Source organism: Homo sapiens, chromosome 8, assembly GCF_000001405.40.
Source record: "Homo sapiens chromosome 8, GRCh38.p14 Primary Assembly".
NCBI classification, from domain to species: domain Eukaryota; kingdom Metazoa; phylum Chordata; class Mammalia; order Primates; family Hominidae; genus Homo; species Homo sapiens.
This window is the reverse complement of record NC_000008.11, coordinates 112,372,712-112,396,762: the sequence shown is the minus strand read 5'-3', so window position 1 is coordinate 112,396,762 and position 24,051 is coordinate 112,372,712. Positions and strand designations below refer to the sequence as shown.

Sequence of the window (24,051 nt, the reverse complement as noted above, 5' to 3'; positions counted from 1 at the left end):
TAATCTGTCTTAATTGTCCCTCTTTCCATTGTCACTATATTGGTTTTGGGCTCAATCAAAAGAGGACTTGGCACACAACAGGTGTTCAGCAAACTTTTATTCAGTGAGTGGATTTTAGTAAATTACTGTATCAATTTCCTGAATATTTGTAGAGGGTCTGACAACCCTTACCAACTTCCCAAGTCCAAGGTCCATACTTTTTCCATTTCAGTATTCCACCACATGGTGATACTCTTGCATAGTTTCCTTGCTTAAACCTTCACAAATCTGAGGTTTCAAACTCTTCTGACATCTGCAGGAAAGATATGTATGTTGGTAAAACACAAGCAAAAGATTTACATATTATATGGGGAGTTTTATTCTGAGAGAGAGCAAATTCTCCATTTACCCTTTACAGTTTAGATATAATCTTTGACAGCCTATTTACAGGGTTTTATACATGATGATTGTTTTTCTGTCTTAGTTCAATGAATGCTCAGTTAATAACTTAAGCCAAGTCAGCATCCAATTGAAAGCAAAACAATACTGCTTTCTACATTCCTAATGATTTCCCTCTCAATTGTATCATTTCAGTTTCACAGTTCTTATTATTACTGTCAACACTGTTTTTTTTTCTGTCACAGTAAAGCACAAGAAAATGTTCATTAATTTTGCACACACTGACATACTAAAACTAAACTGTTGATTGGAAAGCAGCCCCATAAGACATGATATGTGAGTTGTGCTTATAGTTAAAATGGTCAAATACTAAATTAGAAGATTCACAAACTTTAACAACCAGTTTTTAAACAATATTTAATAATCTTGTACAAAGCTGTAGTTCCAAGCCTTTCTTAATTACAATAAAATACAATAAAATTTTACTTAAAAAAATTAGACTTGAGACCAATGAAAAACTGAAAAATAAAACTTATGCTGAAGACTGAGTTTTTATCTTCCAAATTTGACCTTGTTACATTTCACATTTCTTAAACTATGCAGTCTCCTAAACCCCCAGGCTTTCCTCCCTTTTAGACTCTGTGATTCAAATAACCCCCTGCAGCCACTAATAGCTTTGACAATATATGACCTTAGGCATAAGTACTTCTGTTAGTGGGAGGTCTTTTTTGAAAAGCCCTGGAAGCTGCCACCTACTCCCCTTAGGCAAAGAGTCTTTAATTAGCTGCTTATCTGATCATGCTTATCTGGTTCTGTTTTTTCAAGTTCTTTAGAGACCCAGAAAGAACTACTTTTACTTGAAAGTCTCCATGGCAACACCTGTCTACTTCATCTTTTCTTAGAATGGGAAAAAAAGTTCATGAAGAAATATATACAAACTCTCCATCTCATTCATTTATCCATTTATTCATCTATCCATTCATCCATGAAAAAGTTATTAAATACAATAATAAATAGCAATTTTTGGCATTTGAATGAAGCACTATTAAGCATTATCTCATTTAATATTGATATCAACTTTGGAAGGTAGATATAATTATCTCTATTTTACAGATAGTAAAACCTCTTGGTTTAGATAAAAAGGCAGAATTGGATTTGAACTTAGGCTGCTTGATTTGAAAGCCTGCTCTATTAATCCACATATTATATTGAATACTGATCAGAACAGAAATTTATCATATATCTTTTAAAAAACAGGATGCAAATGTTAGATTGTGGTATTGCGTATCTGCTAATTTTTCTATAGCATATTTTGTTGGTAAATAAATAAATATGATTGCAGTAGAATTAGACAAATATGGCTTGTTTAGAAAAATACTGGGAGACAGGAATGATGCAGGAATGATAAAGAGGTAATTTGAAAGCACAAGATATGTACAGATACACAATCAGTTCTTCAGTGATTTATTCAGCAATAATTTATTGAGTGCTTACTGCATGCCAACACTATTCTAAGCACTGGTGACATAGTTTTGAATAAGAATATAAGATCTTTGTCCTTACATTTTGCATTTACATTTTACATTTTACTGGAGGAGGACAAAAGTCATCAAGAAATATATTCTTTTCTTTTGGGGAGTGAGAATGCTGTAGAAAAAAATAAAGCAGGAGCTGGAGTTGCAACAAGACACCCAGAGCATGCTGCCATTTTAAACCTGAATAAAATGAACAGAGGGAGGGATGAATAAAAGTCTTTCTTGTTGGTGAGCAAGTGTATGGACTGTTGAGGGAGAGAGATCTTGACGTGTTCAAGCCACAGTGTCTGGAACACAGTAAATGATAGCAAAGAGTGATAGGAGATGAGTTTAGAGAGGCAGAGCAGAGGGCCAAGTCACATGGATCCTTGAAGACCACGGTGAGTTTGAAATTTTCCTAACTAGTATGGGAATATATTGAGCTGGGGAGTGATATGATCTTAATCAGTTTCTAATAAATCACTGTAGTTAGTGTAGGGAGATGTGGAGTAGAACCAATATGACTGATTAGAAGCCTATCAAGGTAATGGAGGGGAAAAGTAGTGTGATTTGGATAGGAAGATTATGGTCACAGTGATGAGAATTAGTAAGCTTTGGGATATATTTTTAAGGTGGAGCCATTACTGATAGATTGAGAATAGATGTAAATGTAAACTTGACTGCAAGAAAGATAAATCAAGATGAATCTTAGGTTTATGGCCTAAGAACTGAGTGAATGGTGGTGACAATCCCTAAGATGAAAGAGAGTGTGGATGAAGAAGAATTTCAAAGTTATTATTTTGGACATATCCATTTTGAGATACTTGTTAGACATATGATTGCAAAACTCACAGAAATCACAGCTAGAGATAAACATCTGGTAGTCAGAGTATATAGAAGACATGGAAGGGGGGACAGTGATTAGAAAGAGAATATGGCCTAAGACAAAGTTACAAAGAGGAGAATGAGTTAAAAAAAAAAAATCTGAGTGCAGCCAATAATAGAGAAGAAAACCAGGAGAGTATGGTGTTCTGATGTTCAAGCAAACAAAGGCTCAAGACAGATGGAGTGATCAACAGTGAGAGCTAATTATTCATAGATTGAGTAAAATGCAAGTTAAGGATTGATCATATCACAACATTAATATTCTGGTGACTTTGACATGGTTATTTCACCAGAGTAGTGAGGACAAAAGTCTGATGCAATGCATGAAAGAGAGGATGGAGGAAGAGGAGATAGCTTGTCACTGTAGCAGCATGGAAGAAAATTTATAATGCAAAGAAGAAGAGTTAGAATCTTGATAAACAGAGTTTCAGGCAAAAGGGTGACCTTGTCTGCTCAGACTTGAGTCTGTTTCAAGAGACTAACATAAAAATAATACGGAAGCATAGTATGATAAAATTGTACAGGAAAACATTTGGTGCTATGGTAAACTACAGGACACTTAACACAGGGAAATTCCAAAGGGTTGAAGCGGTAACATTCACACTGAAAGTCCATAGATGGGTAGGTGTTAGCTAGGTGAGAGAAGGGGACAAATCAAGTGACAGCAATAAGAAAGCATATTAGTTTAGAAGGCTGGACTGGGTTGGGGGATTAAGATGATGAGGACTTGGGAAATTATAGTTACATACAAGCCTGGAGATGAAATCAGAGACTAATACAATTAACTATATTTATCTGTAGGCCGGGCACAGTGGCTCGTGCCTATAATCCTAGCACTTTAGGAGGCTGAGGCGGCATTGTTTGAGGCTGGTGATTCAAGACCAGCCTGAGCAACACAGATCCTGTCTCTACAAATTAGCTATATAAAAATTAGCTGAATATCTGTACACAAATTAGCTGGGTGTGATGGCACACACCTGTAGTCCTAGCTACTCTGTAGGCTGAGGTGGGAGGATTGCTTGAGCCTAGGAATTTGAGGCTGCAGTGAGCTATAATCACACCACTGCACTCCAGCCTAGGCGACAAAGCCAGAGCTTGTTTCAAAAAAAAAAAAAAAAAAAGAAAAAAAAGAAACTATCTGTGAGCTGTGAATTCAGACAATGGGGAAATTTTTGAAGGATTTTCACCAGAGAAGCAACATGTCATATTTTAATTTAGAAAAATAATTTTGACAGTATTTTGAAAAATATAGTGCATGGAAAACATACCAGCCATAGGGAGGCCACTTATTTGATTAATGTAGTAACTCAGAAAAAAAAAAAGTACGTATGAGGAAAAGTTGTGGCGGTGGCGATGGAGAGGAAGAGCATCTATAAAGTATTTTTTTTTCATCAGCAGGATCAACACTTCATCAATTACGTTTTTGTTCTATTTTTTGGGTGAATATTTTAAATTTCTTCCTCTGTCTTTTGCATGTCATTCTCAAATCATGCAAAACTGCTGGTTTTCTATTTAAATTAGCTAAATTAATTTTGACTAATTTAAACAGAATTTGTATATAACCCATTTACAGAGCTTTGTAAGAAAACACGACTAAGTGAGTTTCTTTAAAAATATATTGTCACACTATTTTAAAAAGTTTGCAACATCTTTTTTTTTTTTTTTTTTTTTGAGTAATTGCCCTGGTTTTTGCGTTTGTCTTTGGAAGTGGCACAAAACTGTAATTCACTTTTAAAATAAATTATTATTACAAAAGATATGTTCTTTGTATCTCATCATTTATAGCCATACTAGGACAAATTCCCCAGGAGCACAGTACAATTGGGACCTAAAATAATATTTGTAGCAAAAGGAAATATAATTTATTGATTTCTAACTGTTTTCCAAGGTGTGTGCTTGTTTCTTATGTACATTCTAGCTTCTTTGTATTTTTCACAAAAGCCTTTTAGAAACAATAGAGTTACCATTCCACAGATAAGATATCTGTGTTTCAGAGATTGTAAAGAACAGGTCAAAGTCACACAGAATTTAAGAGTTATGAGTTAGGTCATGGCCAGAATCAAGGTGATTCTATTAATGGCATGAGAATTTTACTTTCAGACTAGTACCTTCTAAAAATGATAGAAGCCTTTATTGACTTCTGAGTAGGTCTGCATACATATTCTTTCTTGTAGTAGTTAGACTGGCAATAACTAAACTGGGACCACTTCAAGTATCTTCAGTTCCATCTAAGGACATGGACTCTGGCTTCAACTGCCAGGATTCAGATCTCAGCTTCATCTTTTTTTTTTTTTGAGATGGAGTCTTATCCTGTCTCCTAGGCTGGAGTGCAGTGGCGCAATCTCAGCTCATTGCAACCTCTGCCTCCTGGGTTCAAGCAATTCTCCTGCCTCAGCCTCCAGAGTAGCTGGGACTACAGGCGCCCACCATCACGTCTGGCTAATTTTTGTATTTTTAGTAGAGACGGGGTTTCACCATATTGGCCAGGCTGGTCTCGAACTCCCGACCTGGTGAGCCTCCTCAGCCTCCCAAAGTGGTAGGATTACAGGCGTGAGCCACTGCACCTGGCCAGCTTCATCTCTTCATATGTGATCTTGGGCAAGACAATCTCTTAATGACTCCATTTGATTGCCTCAGCTGTAGAATGTGGAGAGTACTTAGTCATCTCATTAGTTGTTGGAAGGCTTAAATGAGTTAAAATATGTAAAGTACTTAGAAGGGTGCCTCGCATATAGTAGGCTCTATATAAATGTTATGATCATAATATAATTGTTATCATCATCCTCATTACTTTCCAGTGGATGCTGTTACTCCTCAAAGAATGCATGAAGGAGAAAGTACCAAATAATTTTTTAAAAATTCGAGACAATTTTTATCTAAAAATGAACTATTTTTAAGGCAAATTTAGTCAATGCGTGTTTTAGTAATATAATACAAATACTATGCTGTTATTGAGTTAATTGTAGTGTGATTTTTAGATATGCCATTCAAAGGTCATCCATTAATGCTGTCTAATTATTTGTTATCGTTTCCATGGTATACAAAAACTTCATTTTCATTGCTTTTATCAGTTTTGAAAAAAGTATGATTTGATTTGCAAGTCTAGTATCTGTCTAAGATGTTATCTCTGACCTTTACTCTTATTTTAATCCTTTGCATTAGAATTAACTCCCTCTCTTGGACTGCTTTATTTTCAGTGCCCTGTGGTGGAATTTTAACTAAGCGCAAAGGGACTATTTTGTCACCTGGATACCCTGAGCCTTATGACAACAATCTGAATTGTGTGTGGAAGATCACAGTGCCAGAGGGAGCTGGCATTCAAGTAAGAATATTTAAGTTTTTCTTCTTTTCATTGTATGTGTGTAGTTAATCTTTTCAGAGATGACAGAATGAACATTATTTCTAAAAGTTTAGCAAGTGGTTTTGACTGACATGGTTGAAATGAATAGAAAGATATTTGTTATTAATTTTTTTCACGTAGAATTAACAGAAAGCCAATTCAAGATGGCATAAGCAATACAAAAAAAATGTGTTAACCCCATATAACATGGAATCTTGAGGTAAGCAGATTTTAAACATTATTTCAGGGGTTCAGTGTGTCTTTCCTCACCCACGTTATTTCCATCTCTCTGTTCTGCCATGCTCAGCCTGTTGGTTTTAGTTCTTAGACACCTTCTCCTGAGGTCTTGAGGTGGCTGCAAAAGCTCTAGGCGTAACAGCCCTACATAGCAATGGCCAGCAGCTAAAACAGAATGTCCCTATGTTATGTACCATTTCAGTGGTTAAGAAAACTTTTCAGGAAACCTGCCAGCAGACTTTCCCTCCTGTTTTATTGACCAAGATTGCAATCATATCCGTTCCAAACCTATGCAATGGGCAACAACCAAAGATTTACTATGATTTGGCTCAAATAAAACTATATTACGTATCAGGAGTAAGCAATAAGTGCAGCCTCCTATTATGCACACATCTCTCACTTAATTGAACTAAGCCAGATCTGTGTTAGCAAGGAAGGAAGATGCTCTTTAAAAATAGGTAATCAACAGTGACTGTCCTGTTATTTGAATTATGGCTATTTTGGGGGCTGCTATTTGACCAGTTATTCTGTTTTACATAAAGATATATATTTTTTCTGGATGAATTGATAATATTTTACTGCAGAATCAGTATATATATCCTATGAAAGGTAATTATGCTTCATAAATATTATCTAGCCTTCACAGATATAACTTGATTACTTCTCTAATTGATTTGTAGAGTTTTTCTTTAGAAACTTGAGACATATAAGAGTTGTGGAAAAATTAGCCAAGATGCCATGCATTAATAATGAAATTAGATTGAAGCATAATTTTTAGTAAAAAAAATCAGCTTCATGGATTTATAATTGTTCAGACGTTTTAAAAATTACTTGACAGGTGTTGGGAGTAAAATATGCCAGCAAACCAATGACAAAACAAAAAGCATGTACATTTTCAGAGTTTTAAGGCCATCCAAAGATTATAGATGCATACTTACATTCTTGCTAGTTTATAGACAATTTGTCAAATTTGAAGATAACGAATCAATCCTATCTTATTATAGTAGAATAATAAGGATTTTGGGATTGCCCATGCTCCAGCTTGTATAGAGGATCTGAAATGATATGATACCTTTAGAATCTTCATAGAACTTTTACCACATCATCTGGTTATAATCTTCTCAAGGTTATTCAAGAGCATCTATATATTAAATCAGCTTACTTATTTCCATCTAATCTTAAAATTTTGAAAACCCTGACATGTTTTCTTTAGTTATCATCTTCTCTTTTTGACCCACTGCAATGTGGCTTCAGCAACTAATACTCTAATAGAGCCAGTCTCATAGTGAAGATCTAAATATGATTAAATCCATTGTGTGGTTCATCTTTCTTGCTCTGTCAGCAGCTCTCTATCTTGCTGTTCCTCCCCTGACTCCTAATAGACTATTTTTTTCTCCTTAGATCCTAGGACACCAATATTTTCTTGGATTTTGTTTTGTTTTCTCTTCTACATCTGTAGCTCCTACTTCTATATCTACTACATGGTCTCCTCTTGCAATTCAATCCATTGTTCAAATATTAGTGTTTATGAGATTCTGTGGCCTTTGTTCATTTCACTTTACTCTCTCTGGGACCTTGTCTAATTCCATGGCTTCAGCTACTTTTATGTGTTAGAGATGTCGAGGACGTAAATCATAATAGATAATCAGAAAACATATTTTTGAATGAGGGACTGAATAAATGATGACATGCAGACCTAAATATCTAACTCAGACCTCTCACCTAAGCTGCAAAACATATGTCCGACTGCCCACTGGACATTTTCAGCTAAACTTCTTGATGGCTTGTCAAATTCAACCTCTAAAACTGACTTCATAGAATTTTCTCAAAACTATAGAACTTTCTCAGTGTTCTCTTTCTCAGAACAACTTCCTCATCCATTAAGTTACACAAGTCAGAAATTTTGATTCTTTTCTGACTCTTACTCGGTACAATGAAATTCGTCAGGTTTGTCTTTCATAAATCTCTTAAACAAATCTATATCTCTCCATTCACACTTTTACTACCCGAGATCAGATAGCATCACCCTTGTCCCAGGTTCTTATTCTCCTGCAGTCTATTCCCTGTACGTCCAGTAGAGTAACCATCTGAAAGTAAAAATCTAATACTATCATTTTCTTGTATCTAATACCTCAGTTGTCTCCAATCTCCTTATCTCTTTTGACACTGTCGATTATGCCGTTGTGCTCTGTTCTCATTTTGTAACTATTCTATCTGCACTATTTCAGCTCCTTATAAAAACCTAGCTTCATTTTGCCTCTGGACCCTTTGTGCATGTTGTTCTTTCTGTGAGCACTCTCTATGATCTCCTTTTATGTTGCTTATTCTTACTTAACATTTCTGTCTCAACTTAAATACATTTTCTGTGGAAGACCTTCCATGAACTTGAGACAAGGTTAAGTTCTCCATCATATTTCAATGTTACTACTAATTATCTGTAAGCTCATGAGGACAGTGCCAAGTCCATTCTGACAACTAGTACAGTGGAAGTACATGCTGCACAGTGCTTGGCAGTGTATTCTCAGTAAATATTTTTAGAACGAATCAATGAATACTTGCACAAGTGGAGTTTTGACTATTTTAGAGTTAGCAGGCATAACGAACTACTAAGATGTTTGCAGAAAAACTGTGTTATATATCACTTATCCTAGGCAAACACTATTCAAAACTGGACACATATGAATAACACTAAAATCTTTCACTGAGGAAGGACTTTGTTTATTGACTGTACTTTAGAAAACAAAATTTGAGTTTAGCAGCACGTTTAGCAAACATATAGTGTGTAAAGCATTTGGGGCTTTTAATTTTAAACACGCTAAAAAAAAACTATCAAGGACCTTTTTCTAATTAACCATTTACATGGATGCTAGTTTTAGACATATCACTGAGTCATAGAAACTTGTAACACACACACACACACACACACACACACACACACACACATAATATATGACTTACATTTGAAACTTCATTAAATTTACCTAAAAGCTATCTGGCTACTACCCTAGGTTTAAAGCAATGTTTAATATTTTTCTCTGTTGGGCCAAATATGTGTGTGAATAAAGAATTGTATGAATATTCAATAAATCATATATGAGATAAAGTGGGATAATCATTCTTGAAAAGAGGAGAAAAGAAGAAACATATGGAATGCTGAAAAATTACAATAATATAGAATAATTGAACATTCTTTGGGAATTACCTGAACAAACAATTTGTTAATATTACATGAGAATTTCCCACTCTTTGTGGCAAAGAGTGGATTCATTTGTTTGTTTGTTTATTTTAGCAGGGTCTATTGGAGAATTCCAGTGCAGCTACATTCAAAATTAGCAGTGATAGCCATCAAGAAAAGGGAAATATTTATGTAATAAGCCATGGGGGAAAATATGTTGGCTACATTATTGTATCAATTTACAGCATGATTATCGTGATTTTATATAATCTAAAGTAAAATGTAATTTGAACAGTTATATGATAGATGCCTAGTTTTAATGATTGGAAATTCATTACCTCATGAAGCTATTCCATTACCATGATGGACAACTATATCTAACGCAAAGTTACTCTGAACACTGAATCAGTATTTACCTCTTTTAAAATCTTTAGTTGGGCCGGGCGCGGTGGCTCACGCCTGTAATCCCAGCACTTTGGGGGGCCGAGGCGGGCGGATCACGAGGTCAGGAGATAGCGACCATCCTGGCTAACATAGTGAAACCCCGTCTCTACTAAAAATACAAAAAATTAGCCGGGCGTGGTGGCGGGCGCCTGTAGTCCCAGCTACTCGGGAGGCTGAGGCAGGAGAATGACGTGAACCCGGGAGGCAGAGGTTGCAGTGAGCTAAGATCGCGCCACTGCACTCCATCCTGGGCGACAGAGCGAGACTCTGTCTAAAAAAGAAAAAAAAAATCTTTGGTTGGCTTTCATGTGTCTTCTGTCATAGTGAGTACTCGATCATGTATTTGAGTCCCTTAACAAATCTCATAGCATTGTCTGCCAGTTCTTCTGGCCAAATTCTGCTTCTACACTCTTTATATTTTTATTATGCCAAACTACATTCACAATGTACCTCGAATCCCAGTGGCAAATTATATTACATCTCTCTGGCTGCTGTAACAAATTACCATGAGTTTTATAGTTACAAACAACAGATTTTATTTTTTTCCTCATAGCGCTGGAAGCAAGAAGTCCAAAATCAGCTTTACTGCACTGAAATTGAGATGCTGGCAGAACCTCTCCTCCCTCGTCCCTGCCCACTTCAGGGTCTCAGGAATGACAGCATCTCTTCCTTGGTTTTTTCCAGCTTCTAGTGGCTGCTGGCATTTGGATTCTGGCCACATCACTCCAATTTCTGCCTCCGTGTTCACATCGTCTTCTCTTCTATGAATGTCGAATCTCCTTTGGCCTCTTTTCCCCTTTCTCAAGATTCTTAAATTAAGCTCATCTGAAAGACCCTTTTCCATATACGGTAGTATTTAGAGGTTCCAGAGATCAGAACCTGATATCTCCAGAAGCCATTATTCAGCTATATACACTAGACACATGTATCCAGAAGTAAACTGACTTTCTTTCTCCCACCTAGGCAATAGATTTTCTTGGAGATGTCTACATTTTTGCTCTTGCTACCCCACTACTCTCAATAACAGAAAAGAAAATAAATTATTCTCAAATTTTTCCTTTCACTTCCTCCCCTATTCAAATCACACAAAATTTAATAACTTCCTCTACAGCAACACATGTGACGTCTGGGTTCCCATTTTTACTACTCCTGCCTCCAATACACTTGAGTCTCTCATTGTTTTTTACTGCAATACATATTGAAATATTACTGAAATAGATATTGAAATTGTCTTTCACTTTTACTTTCTTCACCCAATGCAGTGCTGTACTTAGAGCACTGTCTTAATCATGTTCTTCCTCCGACTTCTGAAACCTTCATTGGAAAACTGAAGATATCACCACGTCTTGAAGTGCATAGTTGCTATGCTGGGGTTTAGTTTTTTATTGAGTTTCTCCCCTGATCTTCCTCTTAGCTAAGCTTTATTGAGTCTTTACTACATGCAGGGTGCCTTATATGAATTAACTAATTTAATTTTTACAATGAATTTATGAATTTGATACCCTTATGACAATAATTTATGTAAATAATCTGAGGTACAGAAAGATGAACAACTTTCCTTGAATGATATGCCCATGAGGAGAGGGAGCCAGGAAGTTGCAAACCTAGCCTCTTTGATTCTAAGTTCTCTTGTATTTAGCTACTGTACTCTACTCTTTTGAACTTTTTTATTCTTTCTCGAACTTTTCATGTATATTTATTCTTATGTAAATACCCCCCACTGTAGCTAAAGAAGATTACTCATGGTCCACTAAATCTAGCTTATGGTTTGACTCCTTTTACATTGTTAGACACTCAATAATTTCCTTCAGTGGAATAACTCAATATCTTCAGCTTAGCCCAAATGTCAACTCCTGCGTGAATCTTCACATTTTTTAAAAAGCTGAATGCAGTATTTTCTTCCTCTGAATTGAAGGAAAGGGAAATTTAGATATGAAGAGGGAATTGATAATTGTTTAAGGAGGTGGCGGTTATACTACAATCATACGGCTTTACTTCTGGTCTTATTCCTATCTTAGAACACTGCCATTGGGTCTGATGCCAATCATACAGGCAGGGTATCTATTGCCATGTGGCACTCACCCCTGGAAACAGGCACCAGCATTCACTTGCATGGAAGAATAATGATGGGCTATTTTGCAGATAATAAATTTTTAATGAGTGAAATTGTTGTAATTATTTAGTGAATGAGTGCAGTGCATACATTTTTAACAGATTTTAGCTTAAAAAACTTTTAATAAAGTTATTCCTTTCCTTCCTCTAAAACCACAAAAAATTTAATAAAGAAATAGCAAAATAGGTAGCATCCGTAGTTGTGAGGGTCCTGTGGGTTCTTGCAAAAGCTCAAGCTGTGCCAAGTGATGTGCAATAAAGTAACACATGCATCTTTCTCTAAATAAACTGTAATAGACAGGAGAGAATTAAACCTCCCCAGTATTTTCCTTCTCAACTTTAAGGACCTTCACTGTGACGTAGTTACTATAACTCTATTCATTAAAATAAATTTTTAAAAATTCATTTGAATTAATTACAAAATATCATTTTTTTGTGTCATCCATACTGAAACTTATTAAAAATATGCGTGTTAAAAATTTTTAAATAAAAGGAAGAGAAGAAATTGAGCAAAGTTTATGCAAGGAAAGGATAAATTAAAAGTATCCAGAAATAAACCTGGTTTTAAAAAGGTATATTATAAGGTCCTACAGGCTTGTAGACCACAGATCTGGTTTTTCCTAATAGCTACAAGCAAATTAGAAAACTCAAATCAGTACATATACATAAAAATTCACCGATTGTTTTGAACATGCATTGAGATTCCTGGCACTGAGTCATTAGATTAGCTCAAATCTTTTGAAAAGAGAATGTTCTGAGATAGTGACAGACATTGCTCTGGTTATACCCACAATGAACATTGGTCGGTGCTTCAAAGGCTTTTCTATATAAAAATCAGCTCGTGTAAGCCAGTGCAATAATGGAAAAAATCAGTTCTGTTAAAAACCCTTCTATGAAGGGTCACAATTATGTGGTTCAGGATTTGAACTCTCTTTTCCAAGGGGGATTGGTGGACTATAGTTATGTGTATCTGGTTAGAAATGTGTATTCTTACCTGTAATTATTATTTCACAGGTGCAAGTTGTTAGCTTTGCTACAGAACATAATTGGGATTCTCTGGACTTTTATGATGGGGGAGACAACAATGCTCCAAGACTTGGAAGCTATTCAGGTAAATAAGAGAGCTGAGCTTAATTAAAATACAGATATAATTAGGAATATAAAAAAAATTAAAGAGCTATCTACAACTCTTACTTGGTAGTTTTAATTTGCTTTTTACAAACTATACACAAAGATACAAGGACTGAAGTTTAAAAGATTTAAAGATGATATCAATATTGATATTTAAAACCTTATTACATTCTTACCAATTCTTCCTATATTTGTGTAATTATTTATTGATGGTTTTATGTTACTGGTAATATTTTCAGCTGAGTTAGGGTTCAGGAATAGTATGTACGCTCTTTTCCTTAAAAGAAAAGGATGAGCAATAATAATTAAAAATTAGACTGTGCTTTGAATTGTGTGCTATGAAGTCATGAAAATAACCAGGTAAATGCTACAAGGTACTGTTAAATGAGAATAAAGAGAATACAGAATTATTTCTATGAAATGAATAAAATTATATAAAATTAGTGTATACATGTTTAACAAGACCAGAAATAAATAAAATAGAAGTCTTATATTTTTATGTAAGATGTTGACTTGTTTTTAAAATCTGTTAGATTTATTAAGGTTTTTATTTTTTGAGATGTAGTCTCGCTCTGTCTCCCAGGCTGGAGTGCAGTGGTGAGATCTCAGCTCACTGCAACCTCTGCCTCCTGGGTCCAAGCGATTCTCCTGCCTCAGCCTCCAGAGTAGCTGGGATTACAGACATGCGTCACTACGCCCAGCTAAGTTTTGTATTTTTTGGTAGAGATGGGGTTTCGCTATGTTGGCGAGGCGGGTCGTGAACTTCTGACTTCAGGTGATCCACCTGCCTTGGCCTCCCAAAGTGCTGAGATTACAGGTGTGAACCACAACACCCAGCCAGATTTATTGAGGTTTAAAAGGTAGTTTATGCAATAATTTAAAAGCTTCTTTTGACATATAGAAGTTAAAATAAAAAGTTTTACTTTGTTAATTTTTTACTATTATACTTTTTAAACTCTAGAAATATAAATATAGCTAACATATTAACTTACTCAATTCAGATATGCTGAAATAAATTTGAATGGCTTTAAGCTTTTAAGAGATTTTTAAATGGACTTGTGGAACCAATTACTTATCATCACCAATGAGGAAAAGAAAGAAATATCTGGAGCAAGAGTGATTTGATTTAAACATGAACAATATAGATTTAGATAGAAATCTTAGAAAAATCGCACACAATTTTAGCACACTTTTATTTGTAATAGGTTAGGGGTAATACTTTATTAGTAGTATTATTAATTTTTTTTTTTTTTTTGCATTTTAGAGACAGGGTCTGGCTCTATTGCCCAGACTTTGGTGCAGTGGTGCAATCATAGCTCACTGCAGCCTTGAATTCTTGGGCTCAAGTAATCCATCTGTTTCAGCTTCCTGAGTAGCTGGGACTGCAGTCACATACCACAACCCCAATTAATTTTTATTTTATTTTATTTTTTAGAGCTGAGGTCTCGCTATGTTGCCTAGGCTGGTTTCCAACTCATGGCCTCAAGAGATCCTCCTGTCTTACAGCCTCCTGATTAGCTGGGATTGTAATCCCATGATTATTACATGAGCCACCATACCCATCTGTAATACTTTTAAAATAATAATGTAATGATAATATGAGTGATAAATAACAGCTGTTGATTACTAAGTGCTAGCTCTGTGTGACATTTGCCATGCATTTCCTTATTTGATCTTTCTAGCAGACCTGGTAGGTAATTGAGGCTTAGAGAGATTAAGTTGCCTGAGGTTGTACAACTAATGTTAGAATGAGATTGGGACCCACCTGGTGTGACTCCAGAATTAGAGCTCTTAATCAATAACATCCTGTAAGAGACTTAAGGCAGGTGAAATGACCTTTTAAGTTTCTGTTTATCCCTGTCTTCAGTGGTTGCTGTTATCACACTATGGCCAGAAAAGAAGCAAGTGTGTGCTGTGTAATAAATTCTTTCTGTTCTTCCATAGAAGACATCAGGGGTGAGGTCCACAAAGTTGCGCAAAGCAAATGTAAAGAAAGTAGTTACTTATAAAGAAATGTTTGTAATGACCTCAACTCATATGCTTGTTGAACTATGTCTTAAGATGTAGAATTAGCGCTTGTTTATTTTCATGCTTGCCATTTGAAACTGCTAGAGGTGGAGTCAAAGATCTTAAACTCTTTGCTCAATAGCAAAGTCAAGAAATAATTGATTCAAGCAGATACTTTATATTTTCAAGCTCAATAACTTAATAAAATAAATTTGATCTCCTTCAGAAGTCCAGAAAAATATCATTATAATGCATTTGCTGAAAGACAAGAGTAACAGTAGTTCATAATTGGAATTTTTTTGAAAGCTGACTACCAGCTTTGCTGTCAGGGTATAAGAAACATTGAGGCACTTGACCTGGTATAGAATAATCTATCTATCTAGCTGTCTAACTTTAATTCATTATTAAAAGGAAATCAATGACTATATTATCTGACTCATAAAAAGTTGTTACTTTGCAAAGTTCAAAATTAAGCTTATTATTTATTCTTTTTTAGTTTGCAAACTGTGTTTTATTCATATTTTGTGTTTCTTTTTAGTTAGTTCACCAATCTGGTACATACAGGCAGTTAAAACTGGTTATCACTTTGACAATCAGAAGCCTCTGGTATAACACAGTCTTCAAAAAAACATATTGGAAAACAGAGAGAATACAGAGTAATAATCTCTTTGAAAGCAATCATTGCAAACATTCATGTTTCTAACAGAATATAACTTTACATATATATGTATTTATTGTTTATTATTAGCTTGTGCACGGAATACTGAAATCCACATGAAATTCAACATTTATTTTTGGTGAACATGTCAAACGTATAGCTTTAACTTTCACAAGCTCTTTTTGCTCCTACCTATTTTTAGGAAGCAATCTAAAGCCATCTCAGGTGGTCTGTCTTCTTGGAAACAGGAATAGTATATTGAAAGAGGATTGTGAGAAAAATATTTCTATTAAATTTTTTTTGAAAAACAACTTGAATAATGCATATTTTTAGTGGTATTCTATTGGCTGATTAGTAAACTTACTTAATTTTATTATAGTACTTATTATGTGGTCATTGTCTTGCCTTCTCATATATCATTTCAGGAACAACAATACCCCATCTTTTGAATAGTACGTCTAATAATCTGTATCTAAATTTTCAATCAGACATCAGTGTTTCTGCTGCAGGATTTCATCTTGAATACACAGGTAAAAATAATATCATGTGCCATTCAAAAAGGTTAAGAACAAGTTTATATTAATTAAAAATATTTTTGTTGATATGTACATATTATAGCAACTTTCTCAAAGAAAACATTGTCTTATTTTCTTGAAAGTTTGAACTATTACTTCAGTTCAATTGCAAAATTACATGAATAAAGTTTTAATGGTTTCACAAGAATTTACAAGTTTTTTTGTTGTTGAGTAAGAATAATTAATGTGAAATCTACCCTCTCAACAAATGTTTAAGTGTGCAATATTGTATTAACTATAAGTCCAATATTATGCAACAGATCTCTAAAGCTTACTCATTTTGCATGACTGAAACTTTATACCCATTGAACCACAGCTCTTCATTTCCCCCTCTCCCTATCCCCTGACAACCACTGTTCTACTCCATTTTGGGTCTGACTATTTTAGATTTCCCATGGAAGTGGAATCATGAAGTATTTATCCTCCTGTGATTGGTTTATTTTACTGTGTAATGTCCTCCAGGTTCATCTGGATGTCCTTTGGTCTGTATATCTGTTTTTATCCGGTACTACACTGTTTTGGTAACCGTATCTTTGTAATATATAATCAAGAATTGTGACCCCAACAGTTTTGTTCTTCTTGCTCCAGAATTCTTTGGCTATTCAAGATCTTTTGTGGTTCCATATGCATCTTAGTACTTTTTTTATTTTTGGAAAAACTTGTCAGAGATTTTGATAAGCATCTAGTTGAATCTGTAGGTTGCTTTGTGTAGTATGGACATTTTAACATTATTAAATATTCCAATCCATAAAATGGGATGTATTTCTATTTATTTGTGTCTTTTGTATCTTTTCTCGTCACTATTTAGTAGCTTTTCAGGTTTTTTGGTTTTTGTTTGAGACGGAGTTTCACTCTTGTTGCCCAGGCTAGAATGGAATGGCATGATCTTGGCTCACTGCAACCTCCGCCTCCTGGGTTCAAGCGATTCTTTTGCCTCAGCCTCCCAAGTAGCTGGGATTACTTGTGCCCGACACCACTCCCAGCTAATTTTATATTTTTAGTAGAGACAGGGTTTCACCATGTTGGTCAGGCTGGTATCGAACTCCTGACCTCAGGTGATCCACCCACCTTGACTTCCCAAAGTTTTGGGATTACAGGCGTGAGCCACCACGTCCCGCCTACTATTTTGTAGTTTTTAGAGTGCAAGTCTTTCACCTCCTTGGTTAAGTTTATTCTAAAGTATTTTATTATTTTTCATGCTATTGTAGATGGTATTATTTCCTTAATTTCCTTTTAGGATAGTTTATTTTTAGTATATAGAAATTACAACTGATTCTTTGCATGTTAATTTTGTATCTTGCAACTTTACTGATTCATTTATTAGTTCTAACAGTTTTTTTTAATGGAATCTCTTCAACATTACTGATACATAATAATTATTCATATTTCTGGGATACATGTGATGTTTTTGTACATGTATACAATGTGTAGTGATTAAATCAGGGTAATTGTATTATCATTCATAACCTCAATTATTTATCATTTATTTATGTTGGGAACATTTCAAATCTTTCTTCTCATTATTTTAAAGTATACAATAAATTACCATTAACTCTAGTCACCCTGCTTATCAAACATCAGAATTTATTATTTCTATCTAACTGTATTTTTGAACCCATTAACCAACCTCTCTTCATCCCTGCCTTCCAAGTCAGCCTCTGGTAATCATCATTCTACTCTACCTCCATGAGATCAACTTTTTTAGCTTCCACCTATGCGTGAGAATATGCAATATCCCTTTTCTATGCCTGGCTCATTTCACTTAACGTAACATCCTCTAATTCCACTCATGTTGCTGCAAGTAACAGGATTTCAATTTTATGGATGAATAGTACTCCATTGTCATGTATACCACATTTTCCTTATCCATTCATCCATTGATGGACACAGGTTGATTCCGTGTCTTCGCTATTGTGAATACTGCTGCAATAAACATGGGAGTGGAGGTATCTCTTTGATATACTGATTTTGTCTTTTGGATATATCCGGCAGTGAGATTTTTGGATCTTATATAGTTCTATTTTCCGTTTTTTTTTTCTTTTTTTTAATGAAACCTCCCTACTATTGTTTATAATACCTTGACTAATTTTCATTCTCGCCAACAACGTATAAGAGTTCCCTTTTCTCCACATTTTTTTTTGTGTGTTTGATAATATCCACTTTAACTGGGGCAAGATGACACCTCAGTGTGGTCCGTGGAGTCATCATGTTGTTCTGCATTTAGGATCTTATCATCTGCAGACAGGGACAATTTTAATTCTTCCTTTTTCACTTGGATGCCTTTTATTTCTATTTCTTGTCTAATTCCTCTGGCTAGGACTTCCAGTAGTATTTTGATTAGAAGTGGAGAGAGTGGATATCTTTACCTTGTTCCTGATTATAAAGAAAAAGCTTTTTGTTTTTTACCATTGAGTATGATGTTAGTTATGGGCTTTTCATATATGGTCTTTATTATGTTGAGGTAAATTTCTTATATACCTAGTTTTTTGAGAGTTTTTAATAATGAAATGGTGTCACATACATTCAAATACTTTTTTTGCATTCATTGATACAATTATGTGCCTTGTATTCTTCACTCTGTTAATGTAATATATCACATTTATTGATTTCTATACATTTGGCCATTGTTGCATCCCAGGAATAAATTCCTCTTAGTTGTGGTATATGATGTTTTTAAACATGCTGCTAGATTTGGCTTACTATCATGTTGTTGAGGATTTTTGCATCCATATTCAAAAGGGATATTGGATTATACTTTTCTTTTCTTGTGGTGTCTTTGGCTTTGGTATTAGGGCAGGGCTGACTGCAATAAACAAGTTTGGACATATTTTCCCCTCTTCAATTTTTTTTGAAGAGTTTGAGAAGGATTGATGTTAATTCTTTAAGTGTAAGGTAGAATTCACCAGTGTAGCCATCTGGTGCTGTGCCTTTCTTTGTTGGGAGGATTTTGTTAACTGATTCAATCTTTTCACTAGTTATGGGTCCATGTAGATTTTATGTTTCCTTAAAATTTAGTCTTGGTAACTTTTATATTTCTAGGAATTTTTTCATTTTTCTGGGTTATTCAATTTTTCGGTGTGTAATTGTTCATAGTAGTCTCTTATTCTTTTAATTTCTGTGACATCAATTGTAATGCCTACTTTTTTATTATAAGTGTTTTTAAATTGCGAAAAAGCAACTAGATGCTGTAGAAATTTTAAAACTGGAATTAAAGTGGCTACTCTTGACATAGAAAATGTACATTCATCTCCCAAATTCCTGCAAAACTTTTCATCATAAAAATAGATTAGTTCTCCTGTTAAACAACTATATGAAACATTGTGTCATTTCACACATAAAATTATCACAAATGTAATTAGGTGAGTGTTTGGGTAACTGTGGTTTTTCTTACACTCTACTTAAAATGCAAACTCCAGAAGACAAAAATCTTTCATAGCAGTTTACCATATCCTTTAGAGTGTTTTTGTGTCTTTAACACTGAGTATAGATCCTGAAACTTACCAAACAATTAAAATATACTTGTTGAATGAGTAAATGAATAAATGGACATAGCACCTAGAGGTAGAAGATAATGGACATATAATGTTGGTATATATATCATTAACATTAGTATACCTACACTGATGCTGGTGTCCATAATGGGGTTTAGAATCTAGGTGTGCATATGTTTTGTAATTGTGCTGGCTTCTGCTTCCCACTGAGTATTAGCTCCTCAACATCACCTCATTCAGGCCACTTAGTTCCTCACTGAAACACCATTACCTAAACTGGAAGTTTTGAATGACGTGAAACTCTCAGTGGGAGCGAACAACAGCTGCAATTGATAAGCATGTGCAAGTAATTAATTTTTTACTTGTTTTGGTTCTATAATGAAGTTTACTTTTCAGTTATTGCTAACTTCAGATACAATAAATGTATTACTGTAATGCAAATACATGTCAAATCCATAAGACAAAATTTATTCATTCATTCTTTGTTCAACCAGCAAATATTTTGAACACCTACCATATGTCAGGCACTATGCTCGACATAGAAAATGTGAAGATAGACATGTCACAGTATTTTTCTTTGAAGAGTCTAGTAGAAGATTCAGAAAGATAAAGCAATATTACAGTGCTTTGAATACAGTAATAGATATATTTGTGGTAGATCACCCAAAAGCAATAAATAATCAGCTACATTTAGGAAATTCAGGGAATACTTCAAACAGGAGGTGACACTTGGGGTGAGTCTTAAAATATAAGTAGGAGTTTTACAGTTAAGCAAGACGGGGTGGATAGATTCAGCAGAGGAAACTTCATGTTCAGACAGAGCTATGAAATATGCCACATTAGGGAAAATTCAAACTATTTCAGTCGGGTTGGTATATAAGATTTGAGGGCATGGCAGTAACTAAGGCTGCTTATATAAGCATGACTACTCCTGAAAGGTATAGGATGTCGTAATGAGAAATTTGACTTTGTTATAGGTGCCACAGATCAAAAGCAGCATATGTTTTGATAGTCATTCATAATACAGACCATTAAATTATAATAAACCACAAGTAAATTGATGAAACTTTAAAAAGATTCTTGTGTACAACTTTTACATTTCTAAAATATATTGCTGAATGCAAAAATCCTTTATTTGTATAAGATATGATCATTAATATTTAACAAGATGATTTAGTTATATATAATATTTTTTAAACTGTTCTTTTAGTTAGAAATTCTTATTTTTAATAAATGAGAAAAATTGAGCTATATCCTAATTAACACATAATAGGTGCTAATAATACATAGTATCTTGCCTTTTAGAACAGAGAATTGCAAGTTTGACTGCTCTTCCTGAGGGAAATCAATAACTAGTCACATTAAATCTCACAATTTTAGGTCTTGGAAACCAACATCTTTGACGGGAAAGACATACTAGTTGTAATTTAAGCATTTAAAATCATGATCTTTAATGTAGAAAGTAATGTTGAGTGCCTATGTGAAGGACACTCTGCTTAGAACTGTAGGGGAATTGGGAGATGAATGAGACAAATCTCTTTTCTAATTGAGTGAAAACTTTATTACATGGAATATGTTTTTCCCTGTAGTGTATTTGTGACTGTTTACCCAATTAAGTTACAACTTGTTATTTCTATAAAACAAGCAATCAAAGAAAGCCACTGTCCTCTAAATTAATTATCTGAATCAAACTAAAAAATGTAAGAAAGAATTTACTATTGGTAATGAATGAGCATAAGAACAAATGATACATTGGTGTGTTTTATGTGCAGTTGCTTTAAATAATAACACTACCAACTCTCCTAATGGTCCAGAGGCTATTCAAAGTGAATGGCGTTTAATCTGTTAGTTTGAATTCACATAATCTAAATGTTCGCAAAGCGATGCTTTGGGTTCAAAATGATCCCTAGACACTTCTTAAGAGTCGTTAGCTATCTAGATTCTTCACCTAAGAGAAAAATAAACAAACAAAACATAGAGCAGGATATTTATGCAATCTGTGAAATGTGTTAACTGTATTTTTCAAAAACCACAAGGTGGCAACCTATTAGAAGACGATATTATAATCAGCAACTTTTTAAAGCATTGTGTTGATAGGCCTTAACTAAGACATCAAAGCATTTGCTGAATGCTTCCTTTTAAATGGAACATTATTATTTGAAAACTTCCTGAATTAAAGTAAATATAATTAAAAATACCAGCACTACAAAAAGCCTTTAAAGATATAGAAAAATAATAATTTTATCAAATCATAATTTAGCAGAAGTTAACTCTCCATGTAGACAAAGACCTTTCTTTTTTGAAGAAATTTAATAAATACCTTACTAAATGGTACACTTGACTACACTGGTGACATAAAAATACTACAGTGGCAGGTGCTATTTTTAAACAAAGTCAGTGGCCCTAAATTAAAATTATAATTGTAAATAGAAAACTGAAAGGATACAGATAAATAGATGTGAAAAAGAGAGTTACAGGATATGGAAAAAGAGAGGTAATAGGGGAGAGGGACTGATAAAGAGAGATGAGAAAAAGATACATTTTGTTGATAGTGGGGAGATCTGTGCCAAAGGATAACTAACATTCTTTTAATCATTTTTTAAAATTTTATAATATGTTTCTTGTTTGCAAATCTACTGTCTAATCAGTAAGGACATTAACATAATATTTGCTAAGTATTGAGTTTAAATTCGGGAGAATGGTGGGAGATCGAACAAGAAAATTTAAAGACTAAGTATTGCCTTACAGAATTAAAAATACTAATAAATTCTGCCCTGGTCTTTAAGGACAAACGTATAAAACAAGCCACGGCAGCATTTTTGGCTGCATTGCTAAGAACAGGTTGAATAACAGTTAAAATCTGTTTGGTGGATCAAGTGCTACATAGAGCAGCTGTGGTTTAGAACAATATCCAGCAGGGCAATCAGAAAGGCTGACCATTCACTCAGTTGCACACTGGAGACTATTACTCCCAGAAACTCCAGCGAATACAGTGCCCTCTACCCAAGCACCACATCGATTCCCGCCCGCCCAATAATCTATTTTGCTTATGAAAAGGGCATCATAATTTCTGTCAAGTTTCAAAAAAGGTAGGCTTCTCTTGGTAGAGAAACATCTCTTTTTGTGACAATTCAAGAATCTGTTCATTTGTTAAGGCAGATTTTAATAACTAGATACAGAAATTCTGAAGAACTCCTTATGTATTTTAAGGTGCCTCAAAATGCTGGTTGAGATATACAGCCTCTGGAAGAGAAAACTGTGTTTTTAATGCATGTAAATAAGGACTAAGTGGATTTTTTTTTAAATACCTAATTTTAGGTACTTGAGATAAGCAAAATACTTAAACAACTGGGTACTGGGAAAAAATGATATTGCGTGTGAGTGGTGTGTGTGTGTAAACAGGGTGGGCATATTAACTTTTTCCTATCAAGGAGACACCTATGTCACTGCACATTTTTGGGTATTTCATTTGTGACAGTCTCTAAGATAAAAGTTCTGCCCACTGAGTAACATAAGGGAAGAATCACAGTGGGGAAATCACAGTCTATAATCACACTATGAATACCAGCAACAGATGCAGAACACTTTAAGGTTTTCTATAAAAAAGGATAGTGTTTATTTTTTTCATCCAAGAAAGTAGACTCTTACTATATTCCTAAAGGAGTATTTTAAATAGTGAAGGTTTCAGGAAACATGGCAGGTGTTCTTTCTTAGTAAATGGAAATTTGGCTGAGATTCCTCCCAGCAAGTGAGTGTTTTCGCCATCTGATTTTTCTACTCATGAGAAAAAAAATATATATATATATATATTTTTATATATAAAATATAAATATATATATATATATTTTTTCTGCTGGCAGAGTTACTACACAGACATGCCCTGCTTTTTATTTACCTAAAAGGTAAATGCTGGCGGATAGGCTGATTTATTTTTATTTATTTATTTATCTTTTTTTTTCTATTTTTGGAGACATAGTCTCGCTCTGTCACCCAGGCTGGAGTGCAATGGCACTATCTCGGCTCACTGCAAGCTCCGCCTCTCAGGGTCAAGCAATTCTCCTGCCTCAGCCTCCTGAGTAGCTGGGACTACATGTCACACTGCCA

General features: G+C 34.5%; 1 protein-coding gene across 10 annotated transcripts in view; it reads left to right on the top strand.

Moving 5' to 3' along the window:
* CSMD3 (CUB and Sushi multiple domains 3) overlaps positions 1-24,051 on the top strand; it is a 1,214,012-nt gene that overhangs the window by 1,040,177 nt on the left and 149,784 nt on the right. For all 10 annotated transcript variants that reach the window (NM_001363185.1, XM_017013010.2, NM_052900.3 and 7 more), the window contains 3 exons: positions 5,975-6,099; positions 13,100-13,196; positions 16,307-16,411. In NM_001363185.1, coding sequence (NP_001350114.1) covers positions 5,975-6,099; positions 13,100-13,196; positions 16,307-16,411 — 327 coding nt within the window. The remainder of the gene's footprint in view (positions 1-5,974; positions 6,100-13,099; positions 13,197-16,306; positions 16,412-24,051) is intronic.